Consider the following 13,538-nt stretch of genomic DNA (forward strand, 5'->3'; position numbering starts at 1 on the left):
ACTGCCTGAAGAAATGTTTAGCGATCCATACAGAATTACTCTCAATTAGATTTAGAGAAAACATTCTCTCTTTGAAGAACACTAGAATTGAGGAAAATATGGTAGAGCATATAGGTTATTTTGCCTTTGTTACTTTGTAGACCTTAAATCATGGAGTGAGTTAGAACACAGTATATTTGTGACAACCATGACAGTTCAGAGAAATGCAGTGAGGTCATTTACTCTGAAACTGAAAGACACTAATCTCTGCTCTGAGACCCACAAAGTCAGATTATCTGTTTTACCTGTGTGATTTCTATTCCTCTCATTTTGTTGTTCTTTTTATAAAACATCTTTGCTAAATAATAAAGTTATTACTCTAAGGTAGTGTCCAGGTCTCTTTGATAATAATGAAATGTCCATGGCCAAATCCCATTGCTTTGTTTTGACAGTGTGCTCCAAGAAAATTACTTTGATATGCCCTCTCATATTAGAATAAACACATTCTACATACCTATTGCCTACATCAAGTTTTGAATTATACCATTTTCAGGTTTAACCTGGTCATACAGCAGATTTTCTTAATGGTTGGTGAACACGGAATAATAGTTTAATCATTCAGATAAACTATTTTGCAGAAACATTTAAAATCAGAAATTGCAGAACTACTATCTGAACTTTAAAGGGACACTCTTAACCATATTTTGTTTTATTTAGTACTCACGCTGACAAGTTGATTTACCACCTCATTTTCCCAACAAGTGTCAAGATTTCAATATGCAGTTAATGGTTTCTAAAAACAGTGACTATTTAATTACATCCTTATAGTTTCCCCAAATTGCTTATAGTTTGCCCTCATTTAGTTAGGTCTATAATATTTCTCAATTAGTGTAAAAATTTCTACTCCTTTTTAATCATTGATGCATATAATGATGTATAAAAATTATTGTGTAGATAGCCCCTCCATGAAAACTTAAAATCAAAAGCTTTTAGCATCAAAGTATCAGAATACAAACTAAAGAAAACACACCAATTCAGAAAGATTTTCTTTAAATATATTAAAGTGAATAAAATGTTCACAGAGAATCACTCACATCTAAGGATATAGACTTTTTCCTAAAGTGAAACTATTTTTGGCTCACTCAGACTCTGAGTAGTGTTTCACTGATTTTGAATTTCACTGGTCAGAACCAGTGTTGGTAGTAAGAATTATTGTCCCAGAAGAGAATAGAAATGCTTGCCAACTCTACTTTCAACCCTTGCTGGAATCCCTATGTTGTGGGTAGAGATATGACTAAATTAAGCAGTTTTAAGTCTAAGCCAGAAAGATTTAATTATTGATTTATTGGTTTTACAATTGTTAAATATTGCCTTTAACCGAGTATATGTTTTATCATGTAATAATCACTTTGGCAGCCTCAAATGTCATGGGTTCACAGGGTAAATGTTAAGGTAATAGCTAAACAATTGAGCGTATAGGAGATCTATAGTGAGTGAAAAAAATTCAAGATGTAATACAGAGTCCAGTATGACAGACTTGAGAAACTTTCAAAAACTAGGAAAAGAAAACCAAAAGTCATTCTTGCAGTGTCTCTGATTGCACTGACTTGATGCAGAATTGGTGCATTAACATATGTATACATTACATATGTATACTTGTGCCATGCTGGTGTGCTGCACCCATTAACTCGACATTTAGCCTTAGGCATATCTCCTAATGCTATCCCTCCCCGCTCTCCCCACCCCACAACAGCCCCCAGAGTGTGATGTTCCCCTTCCTGTGTTCATGTGTTCTCATTGTTCAATTCCCACCTATAAGTGAGAACATGCGGTGTTTGGTTTTTTGTCCTTGCGATAGTTGACTGAGAATGATGAATTAAAATAAAAATGCATGCACTTTCAAATGTACTTAGTGCAACATATTGAACTTACATTCCAGTTTTCCTGGAATTACTTGTGTCTTGAGCTAAAGGCTGTATTTGGTATAACAGGGAAGGAAAGAAATTATTTTTCCTATAAAATTAGTTTAAAAACACATATAATTAAACAAAATAAAAATATTATCCCACCTTTTAAAGAACATTTACTAAGTCACAGATATTACCCGAAGTTTAGAAAATCACCTAAGAACAATTGTTTAAAAATTATTTACGGAAAATGAAGCAAAATTGTTTTTACAATCTGAGATTTTAACAGCCAGTGCACTCCTGTTCTTCAGCTGAATGTCCCCTTCATTCTGAATGTCTGCAGTAGAATTGAATTGGGGAGCAGTTAGGTTCCAGGAACATATTCACTCCTGTTTTGTTCTCTCCCCAATCTCAGCCTTTCGGTGACTGTTTGGGCAAAGCCTCCCTTGTGGTAGAAGATGCCTCACTTCTGGGGAGAGGAGACTCCTCATCTTGCAGACAAGAAGCAGCACCCACTGGTTCCTGCTCCAAAAGCCATTAACATTATAAACTGGCCAGGTGTGGTGGCTCAAACCTGTAATCCCAGCACCACTTGGGAGGTTGAGGCAGAAGGATTGCTTGAGCCCAGGAGTTTGAGAACAGCCTTGGCAACAAAGTGAGACCCAATCTCTACAAAAACTAGAGAAAAAATAGCGGGGTGTGGTGGCACTCACCTATACTAAGGAGGCTGGGCTGGGAGGATCTCTTGAGCCCAGGTGGTTGAGGCTTCAGTGAGCCAAGATCATGCCTCTGCACTTGAGCTTGGGTGACAGAGTAAGATCCTATCTCAAAAAATAAATTATAAACTGATTCACAATAACTTTGGTTTTGTCACTAATATGCTGAATATTTTCGTTACAACTAATATACAAAATGCAAACTGGCTATCACTACCATTCTGATAATGGAATTAGCTGTCCTACATACCTGATGACCTAATGCTTAACCTAATCTTCCTCTTTCCCACTTTGATTTGGAAACTTGTTACAATAGAGTTCTTTACCTCAAAGTCTTAAGGAATTCAAGACAAGACTAGAGTATGTTAAGATACCACAAAAAGAAAAAAATATATATATAGCAAGAGCTTTCTTGAGTAAGCAAATTTTATACATATAAAAATAATTTACATGCAAATGACCAAGAGGAAAGGTTAAGTGACTCTGGTGTAAATAATTAGTTTACTGATTCTGCCAGAGCATATTAAGAAAAATTCACTTTGGCAAAATAATATGGATTTAAAGAAGTAACAAGTGGGTTTCTCTAAAGCACAGTTTGGCTTTTTACTAGAATATCAAGTCACCTTTTTGGGTGAGGAGAGTACAATGGGAGTGGGCAGCTGGTGCAAATAAACATTTAAAATTACTTAAAACTTCAACAAATGGGATCTGTATTTAAATCTGTTTTGGTCTGTCTTCCCTTTGTTTTTTCTAATCCATTCCAACAATGCAAACCTCAGCCACTGTCAAGGGCAATCTCAGACTGGAGGTTGCTGCCTAGGGTGAGGTTCTAGCAAGACTGACAAGCAGAGCTCAGGGAAAAGTCTGCATGGGAAAACAGAGCCAGACTTAGAAGGCATTGCTGATGAATTCCATTTTCTTACTACAGAAGAGCTAGCAAAAACTGCAATATGATGTGTAAAGTCAGTGTAATCTTATGGACATTATACCAAGTCACAACATGAGGCATGAGATACCTCAGATGTTGTTCCCTCTAAATCTCATGTTGAATTGTGATATCCCCAATGTTGGTGGTAGGTCTGGAGGGAGGTGATTGGATCATGGGGGTGGATTTCTCAGAAATGGTCTAGCATCCTGTCCCTGGTGCTGTCTTTGTGATAGTGAGTGAATTCTTGCAAGATCTATTTGTTTAAAAGTGTGTGGTGCTTCCCCTGCCTTGCCAGGTGATGTGCCTGCCTGCTCCTTCTTCATCTTCTGCCGTGAATAAAGCCTGCTGAGGCCTCACCAGGAGCTAGGCAGATGCCAGAATCATGTTTGTACAGCCTGCAGCTATACAAACCTCTTTTCAAACCTCTTTTCTTTATAAATTACCCAGTCTCAGGTATTTCTTTATAGCAATGTAAGAATGGCCTAATACAGAAAATTGGTACTGAGACATGGGGCATTGCTATAAAGGTACTTGAAAATGTGGAAGTGATTTTGGAACTAGGTAATGGGCAGGAGTTGGAAGAGTTTGGAGGGCTCCTAATACAGGAAGATGAAGGAAAGTTCTGAATTTCTTAGAGGCTAGTTAAATGGTTGTGACCAAAATGCTGATAGTGATATGGACGGCTGATGCGGTCTCAGATGAAAATGAGGAACTTACTGGGACTTGGAATAAAGGTCATGCCTGTTATGCCTTTGCAAAGAACTTGGCTGCAGTCTGTTCATGTACTAGGGATCTGAGGAAGTTTGAACACTCAGATGCAGGAGCAAAAAAATGACTTAAAGTTGGAATTTACAATTCAATGGGAAGCAGACCATACAAGTATAGAAAATTTGCAGCCTGCCCATTTGGCAAAGGAAGATAAAGCATTTTCAGGGGAAGAATCTAAACAGGCTGTGGAGCAACCACTTATTAGAGACATTTGCATAACTGAAAAAGAGCTAGGTGCTGATAGCCAAGACAATTAAAAAAAGGCCTTGAAGGCATTTCAGAAATCTTTGCAGCAGCTCATCCCAGCACAGACCTAGAGGTCTAGGATGAAAGAATGGTTTCTTGTGTAGTGGGATTTTAAAAAATAATTAATTAATTAATTTATTTATTTATTTATTTTGAGATGGAGCCTCACTCTGTCACCCAGGCTGGAGTGCAGTGGCACAATCTCAGCTCACTGCAAGCTCTGCATTCCGGGACATGCCATTCTCCTGTCTCAGCCTCCCAAGTAGTTGGGACTACAGGTGACTGCCACCATGCCTGGCTAATTTTTTGTATTTTTAGTAGAGACGGGTTTTCACTGTCTTAGCCATGATAGTCTCAATCTCCTGACCTCGTGATCTGCCCTCCTCAGCCTCCCAAAGTGCTGGGATTACAGGCGTGAGCCACCGTGCCCAGGCTGTAGCGGGATTTTTTAAGGAATCAGAGAGACTGATGGGGTTGAGGAGGATATTTATTATTTAGGTGCACCGGCCCAGTCAGATTAACAACCAAAGGACTGAGTCCTGAACAAAGACTTAAGTTAACTTTTAAGCATTTTGTGGGGTGGTGGGGAGTGGGGAGATCTGTGCAGGGGGAAGCATATTACAGAAGCGAGAAACAAAGACAGTTATTCAATTAATTGAGACATGCATTATATCATTTCTTACTTTTCAAGGAAAAACATGTTTTACGACTTGAGTTTATCTGTCTAGTGACCTTGCAGCTGCACAGCTAGGGAAACAGGGTCTTCACAATGCCTGGGAAAGGAGGAGAGATGAAGCTCACTAGCCACAGAAAAACAGGCAGTTAATTTTTAAAGGGCTCCAGCTCTTTCTCTTTCTCAGGGGGAACTGGGTTTTCTCACATACAACTGAGTTTCTGCTTACACATTCTTTAATTTCTTTTAATTCCTGTTCCACTTGGACCAGGGCCAGGGCATCACTGTCCTGTACCACCCCCAGGAGGGTGTTCCTTGCATCCTGGCCCTTCTAGCTCCAGCCTTGGTTCAAAGGGCTGCAGATAGAGCTCAGGTCATGGCTTCAGAGGGTGCAAACTATAAGCCTTGGTGGCTTCCATGTGGTGTTAAGCCTGCAGGTGAGCAAAGTGCAAGAGTGAAGGAGGCTTGGCATTCTCTGCCTAAATTTCAGAGGATGTATGAGAAAGGCTGGATGCCCAGGGAGAAGACTATGCACCACTGGAGCTCTCAAAGAGGACCTCTTCTAGCACAGTGCCAAGTGGAAATGTGGGGTTGGAGGCCCCACTCGGGGTCCTGACTAGGGGGGCTGCCTAGTGGAGCTGTGGGAGGGGGGCCGCTGCCCTCCAGATCCCAGAATGATAGAGCCACCAGCAGCTCATGCCTTCAGTGTAGAAGAGCTGTGGGAGCAGAGCAGCCCCAGGCCTTGGGAGCCCACCTTATGCATCGTGGGAATGCTCTATGTTCCCAGGATGTGGGACATGGTTTCAAAGCAGATTATTTTGGAACATCGAGTTTTAATGACTGCCCTGCTGGGATTTGAACTTGTGTGGGGCCTGTAGCCCCTTTCTTTTGGCCAATTTCTCTCTTTTGTAATGGGAATGTTTACCCAATGCCTGTACCCCAATTTTATCTTAGAAGTAAATAACTTGTTTTGATTTTACAGGCGCATCAGTGGAAAGGACTTGCCTTGTCTCAGAAGAAACTGCACTTTCGAGTGATGCCGAAACAGTTTGAGACTTTTGGGGGACTATTGAGAAGGGATGATTGTATTTTGCAATGTGAGAAGAACACGAGATTTGAAGGGCCAGGGATGGAATGAAATAGTTTGGATGTTGTACCCTTTAAGTCTCATGTCGAATTGTAATTCCCAGTGTTGGAGTTGGGGTCTGGTGGGAGGTGATGCGGTCATGAGGGCTGATTTCTCATGTTTAACACCATCCTCTTGGCACTGTCCTTGCAAGAGTGAGTGAGTTCTCATTACATCTGGCTGTTTAAAAGTGTGTGGCACCTCTCCCTGCTTGCTCCTGCTCTGGCCATGTGACATACCTTCTTTTGCTTCACCTTCTGCCATGTGTAAAAGCTCCCTGAGGACCCTTCTTGAAGCCAAGCAACTGCCAATGCAAAGCTTCCTGTACAGCCTGCAGAACTGTGAGCCAAGTCAATCTTTTTTTTCAGTATAAATTATGTAGTGCTTAGGTATTCCTTTATAGTAATGCAAGAATGCCATAATACAAGGCATAATGGTTTGCATTTTAAAAATGAAAATTAAATTTTTGTAATTTATCATGAAAAGATGAAATGAGTTAATAATGAGCAATATCTACATGTTGTCTTAGAGGTGCTGACAATCTGTCAAGGAATTACATGCATTGATCAAGCAGTTTACCTTCAAGTTGAATAACAAGATATTCCTATCTAACATAACAAAATTTTGACATTATTTGGGAGACTGGAAATAATGCTAAATAATATCAGATTGTCAAAGTCAAATAAATATAGACAAACATCTGAAATTAAAATGTTTTATTTGAGATACAAGTATTACAACTTCACACATACATGCAGAATGGGTGTCTTTAGTATGTACAAAACATAAAGAGAAAGTTAGAGGTTTTATAAAAAAGGGAGACAGAGAGAAAAACGGTATGTATTTCTCTTTGAGAAAGTTCACTGGCACCAGTAAAGTTTTTGAGAGCTGGCAGGCTCTGATAGGTGAGGGACAGTGGTGGGTAAAGCTAGTCTTAGTGTTCAAGAGGTTGTTTCAGTAGCCATTTGATAAAACTGGTTTCAGCTTAAAGCAGGTAATTTCAGCAGCCAGGCATGCAGAGAATTACGCTTTTGGAGTGGTGTTTTTGCCCTGAATGCCTCCTCCCCCTGGCTCGTTGATGGTTTTATTTGGTGTGATAAGAATGACCCAATTCATATGATCAATTTTCACATTTAACCCTTTCCATCAAGATCTTTCTCTTAAAGCATCAACCATGTTTATAGTTGTACAACGACTACAAGTTAGGTTTAATCATCCCTTAGTGCTAGGATGGACCTGTCCCAGTTGCTCTGTCCCACATCTGGGAAAGGTATGGAGGTCTACATCAGGTCTATGTCAAGATTTATGGCTTAAAATGTCTATCCAAGGAAAAAATAAAACTGACCAGTAATCCCAGGAGAGAAACATACCTTGGCAAATTCGAAGATATTTCTAATTTTATTTAACAATTTTAAAATTAATTAATGTATCAAAGATTCACCTAACTCATGTCAAATAAAATATGTTTGCACTAATTAATATATATTTTATATGAACATTCCTTTATTTAAACCATCCTTTTTTCCTAGAATGATGGATTAGGGGCTTTCAATGTGCCTCAGCCACTTGGAAGTAGAAAAATAAGCATAAAGATAAACTTTGTGACTTCAATTCAAGAAGAAAAATAGGAATTCACAGGAATAGAGAAGAACACTCCAGATCCTGTGGATGGGGAGGTGGGAAAGCAGACTCTGTGATAGCATTTGGTTCATAAAAGGGAGTGAAACTCCAGTATGAGAGAAGAGCAGCCAGTCTCCCTCTGCAACTCACCTTTTCACTGGGGATTTGTGCAATCCAGATTAAGGGAGAACACTCTGTTTCTCCCAAGCCTTGGAGCTAGCACAAAAGTGGCTGAGAGATGGGGAAAGAGGAAAGACACTCAGAAAAGCTGCAGGCATTTACCTAGACCTGGGACTGAGAGAAGGATGCCCTTTTTAATCTGGGCTCATACAAAGTCAATCATTTTTTGGTGCCTGGCAATGGTGGCCACTGCAGACACTTTAATCTTGGGCTAGGAATTGGAGTGCTTGCTCTGGAGCAGGGGAGCAGCCTCAACAGCCAGAATTGAGTGTTGAGTGTGGAAAGTGCCCCAGCAGTAAGTGTTGGAATTAGGCTCTTTCCTCTTGCAGGACTGTAGTGGGAAGAGAGTTGCTAAAGCAGAGGTTTCTCAAGGATGGTGAGACTTGCAGCCAAGAACAGCTTTGCAACCTGGAACTGGTCTGTGTGTGTCATTGCTGGGTGTCTCAGCCTGCTCCCTTGGTCAGTTGAGAGAGTACTCCATCAGTTCCAAGAAACAAGAGGGAGGTGAACCCCATTCCCCAGGAGACCTAAACTTTGGTGAGGACCAGCCCTAAGGGAAGGAGGAATACAGCTTGCCAAAGCCACCCCTTGGATCAAAGGAAACACGATCACGATATCAGCTGCTGAAAGGGGCACACCAAAGCCTGGGAACAGATTTAGAGAGGTGGTTATCTCTTGCCCTCTGTCCCCTTCCTAGTGCACTGCTGCAGATCCAGCAGTGGTCATCCTGTTGGGACCCAAGGAACGTGGGCTGAAAGAGGCTGCTTCTTAGGTTTCTCCAGCAGCTCTGCCCCTGCTGAAGACTAGTACACACTGGGACAGGGCGCTTTTGGCACTTTGTCACTTCTGCACCTGTCGAGGACAAGTACACAGAGGAGAAGACCCTGCAGCCAGCTGTTACTCTTAAGCACTGTCTACTGGACTGAAGCCTGAATTACACCACCAAACAAAAATACATCACCACACCAAGCCACCACAGGAGCCTATCTGCAACCAAGGAACTTGTACAGAGCCTTGGTCCTCTGAAAGTACCCAGAAATGAAGCAAAATGATCCTATACAACATACACCACAGTCATACCCTTAAGAGAAAGAAAGAATGAAAAATTAAAAAAAAACTCCTTCCAAATGATAGCAAATTCAACAAAGGAAGCGTCAAGTCTCTCAGATGAGAAGAAACCATCACAAGAACTCTGGCAATACAAAAAGCCAGAATGTTCCATCACCTCCAAAGGATTACACCAGCAATCTAGCAATGAGTCCTAACCAGAATGCAACGTCTGAAATGACAGGTATAGTATTCAAGATATAAGTGGCAAAAAAAATCACCAAAAGCCAACAGAAAGTTGAAATCCAGCAACAACCCCATAACAACGATCCTGGATTTGAATGACAACATAGCCATATTGAGAAAGAACCAAGCAGAGCTTCTTGCATTGAAAAATTTACTATAGGAATTTCAAAAAACAGTTCACAGCCTTAGCAACAGACTAGACCAAATAGAAGAAATAATTTAAGAGCTCAAAGACCAGACCTTTGAATCAACCCAGTCAGACAAAAATAAAAAAAGAATTTAAAAATAATGAACCAAACTTTTGAGAAATATAGGATTAGGTAAAGGAACAAAATCTATGACTTATTGGAATTTTTTTTTTTTTTTTTGAGACAGAATCTCACTCTGTTACCCAGTCTGTAGTGCAGTGGCATGATCTTGGCTCACTGAAACCTCCACCTCCTGGGTTCAAGCAATTCTCGTGCCTCAGCCTCCCAAGTATCTGAGATTACAGGCGTGTGCCAGCATGCCTCGCTAATTTTTGTATTTTTAGTAAAGATGGGGTTTCGCCATGCTGGCCAGTTAGATCTCAAACTTCTGGCCTCGGGTGATCCTCCCACCTTGGCCTCCCAAAGTGCTGGGATTACTGGCATGAGCCACTGTGCCCGGCTGACTTACTGGCTTTTCTAACAGAGAAGAAGAGAAAGTGAGCAACTTGGAAAACATTTTTGAGGATATAATTCAGGAAACTGTCCTCAATCTTGCTAAAGAGGTCCACATGCTGATACAAGAAATCCAGAGAACTCCCGTGAGACTGAAGGTAGGCAGTGAAGCAAATGCTTGCATTCTTGTGTGGCTCTGATTAGCATCAGGATATCTACATTTTACATAGGAAAGGAGGGAGCAGAGGAAACAGTTATGCGTTCTTCTCACATTCAGTAAATCTCCATTTTACATAAGATAAAGTAAGCATGTGAATATAGGGAGTGGAGTAGAGGAAAACTCAACGATTCATTCATCTCAGGATAGGCAGAGGGATGATTTCTGGTCCTGACCTTGTCCCAGAACTATGAAAATAAGCTGGTAATTGAGATTGTCAGGGTGAAATTGAGCCGACTCACTTTTAGGGATAGTTTAAGGTGGGATGTACATTCTGAAAGATTTAGGGGTTCACAGCAAATTGTGAGGGAGGACATCTGAGGAGACATGCGGCCTTCTGTCACTGTGTGAACCTGGCTTATGGATGAGGCTATGACACAGGGTTGTGAAGTTATAGCTATGTGTTTGAGAACAAGGAAGGCAGTATTGCGTAACTCAGTTCCCAAGCTTAATTTTCCCTTTGACACAGTGAGCTTGGGGTTGGGGTCTCTATTCTCTTTTCTCTCACAAAATCATATGGGAACATTCCAGAAAATGTGAGGTTCTGTGCTCACTATTAAATAAAAATGACCAGGAGAGCCATGGGTAAGCTCCCTCCTCAGTCATCAGGACCCCAACAGAGAGTTTTCCCCTGTGTGGACAGGGTCCTGAATTCTGCAGGATCCCGTGGGGACACAAGTGTCAGGATAGAGGCACTCATTCAGCCAGGTACAGTGTCTCACGCCTGTAATGTCAGCTACACTGGAGGCTGAGGTCACCTTGAGGCCAGGATTTCAAGACCAGCCTGGGCAACATAGCAAGATCCCATAACTAAGAATAAAATTAGCCGGGTGTGGTGGCATGCACCTGTAATCCTAGTTAATTGGGAGGGAGGCTGAGGTAAGAGGATTGCTTGAGCCTAGGCGTTGGAGGCTACAATGAGCTAGGATTACACCACTGCACTCCAGTCTCGGCAACAGTAAGACTCCATATGTGACAACAACCAACCTATTCTGTGTTTTGAGTGTAAATTACCATAGCCTTTGTAACAGAAATGAGGCAGCAACTCTTATCATTCAAAATGCATAAGAAATTTGGCTAAGCAATTGTACTTCTAGATTATTTATTTATTTATTTATTATTGGGACAGAGTCTCACTCTGTCCCGCAGACTGGAGTGCAGTGACAGGATCTCAGCTCACTGCAACCTCTGCCTCGTGGGTTCAGGCAATTGTCCTACCTCAGCCTCCCGAGTAGCTGGGGCTACAAGTGCGCATCACCATACCCAGCTAATTTTTGTATTTTTTGTAGAAACGGGGTTTTGCCATGTTGGCCAGGCTGGTCTCAAAACTTCTGACCTCAGGTGATCCACCCACCTCGACCTCCCAAAGTGCTGGGATTACAGGCACTAGGTCCTTAATTTAGAGCCATATTGTTTAATGTCTAAAAGCACTCTTGCATATTTATTACTGCACTGTTTGAACTTAAATATCCACAACAGGATAACAGGATAATTAAACAGTTAATTGCACTATGGCACATCCATCTGTTAACAAAATGAAGTCGATCTTTTTGTACTGTGGTGGAAAGATTTTCTGAACATAGTTCAGGTAAAAAAATGATCACTGTTGAATAATGCTTCTGGTATAACACAAAGTGTTTGAAAATGTACACAATACACTGTAATATCCAATGCATACATCAAAGTAAATATATTTTATTCTAGGATAATTATTAAAACATTAAGAAATACTCTTTAATCATATATGTTAAAACTTGTAGAAAATCAATAACATACAAGTAAAGAAGATCAAGAAGCCAAAAAAAGTAATTCCAAGTGTAGAAAGCATGGTGAAAAGTGATGGAAGAAAACTGCAGAAATTTAAAATGTGAAATTAAAATATATAATTATTAATTAAAATACATAAGTCTTAATTAAAATACATAATTCTTCATTGAACCCCAAATCTGTCAGGACATATGTGTGATCTTGGATAACGCATTCAACCTCCTGAACACTGAATTTTCTTGACTGTAAAATGTTTTAGAGATGTTCCTCACCTGGTTGCATGAAGCAAACCTCTGTGTGTTAAGGCACTTCCCACAGCATCTGCGACACAGAACAGTGGCAGCTGTGCTCTTCATAGTCCCTGAACACAGACCCACAGCAGTATATTGTGTGTTTTTTTTTTAATATAAAGGCTTTGAAAATGTCCCACAGCTTCCTCAGTAACTGAATGTCAAAAGGGGCAGCCTTCAAAAGTAGAATTCTGGCAAATGTCTTCAAAAGACACAAAATTCTGGCAATGGGCACATTTCCCTCCCGCCTTGCTCTTCTGGATGCATCCATTCTCTCCCACAGCATAGTCATTTTCTTCCACTCCACTGTAGAAATTTTCCTTCTAGTGGCAAGAGTGACGTGAGTGATATGTGGAAATTTCTTTCCAAGCGTGTTGGAGAAGCTTCCTCTGCCTGCTTCTTTTTGGCCACCTCCTGCCAGGGTAAGAGCAGAGGGCCTCCAGGGCTGCTCTGTCACCCCCAACAGCATGGACCTCACTGCAGTCACTCCGGAAGCTTCCCTCTAAAGGAAGCTTGTGCAGGAAACATCATGCATCGAGCAGCATGGGGACAGGGGCTGGCCAGCTGGGCAGGTCTCACACTCCTGACACTCAGACTCCAGGATACTCCTCTGTCCCCACCCAGGGCAGATCCCTGCCCTAAAAGTTTTCCCCTCATGTCCAGCAAATGCTGCATGGAGCCCTGGATTTCTACGTGGAAAGCTAGGAGGAGGGAGAGCTGAAATGAGGATGTAATCACCCTTTCCAAAGAGGTCAGTCCAGTACTACCCTGTGCTCCTGGGCAAGCTCTCCAGGTTGAAGGAACAGGAGCAGGGGTTATGTCAGGTGAAGGTTGAAGTGAGAGACCTCCCAGGAGGTGTAGAATATTCCACTAGGGACATCTCATACCCTTCCAGGATTAGACCTTGAGGCCTGGAGATCCCCAGGCAATTAGTATTGAAGGTCGAAAGGCCAATGACAGGAATAGGAAGGCCCACTGTGTCATTCACAAAGCACTTCCAAACCCATCACCACAGGTGGCCCTCACAATCCTGTGAGACCTGCAGGACAGGGGCTCTCACAAAGGAGGAGTCGGGAATGTCAAGATTTTAACACCTTCTCCAAGTCAGGATCAGGAAATGCTGTTCCAGCACTGACCTATATTCCCTATGCTTCCTCCCACAAAACAGCTTAGGGTGACTGCCAACT

Source organism: Homo sapiens, chromosome 9 (assembly GCF_000001405.40).
Source record: "Homo sapiens chromosome 9, GRCh38.p14 Primary Assembly".
In the NCBI taxonomy this organism is placed as follows: domain Eukaryota; kingdom Metazoa; phylum Chordata; class Mammalia; order Primates; family Hominidae; genus Homo; species Homo sapiens.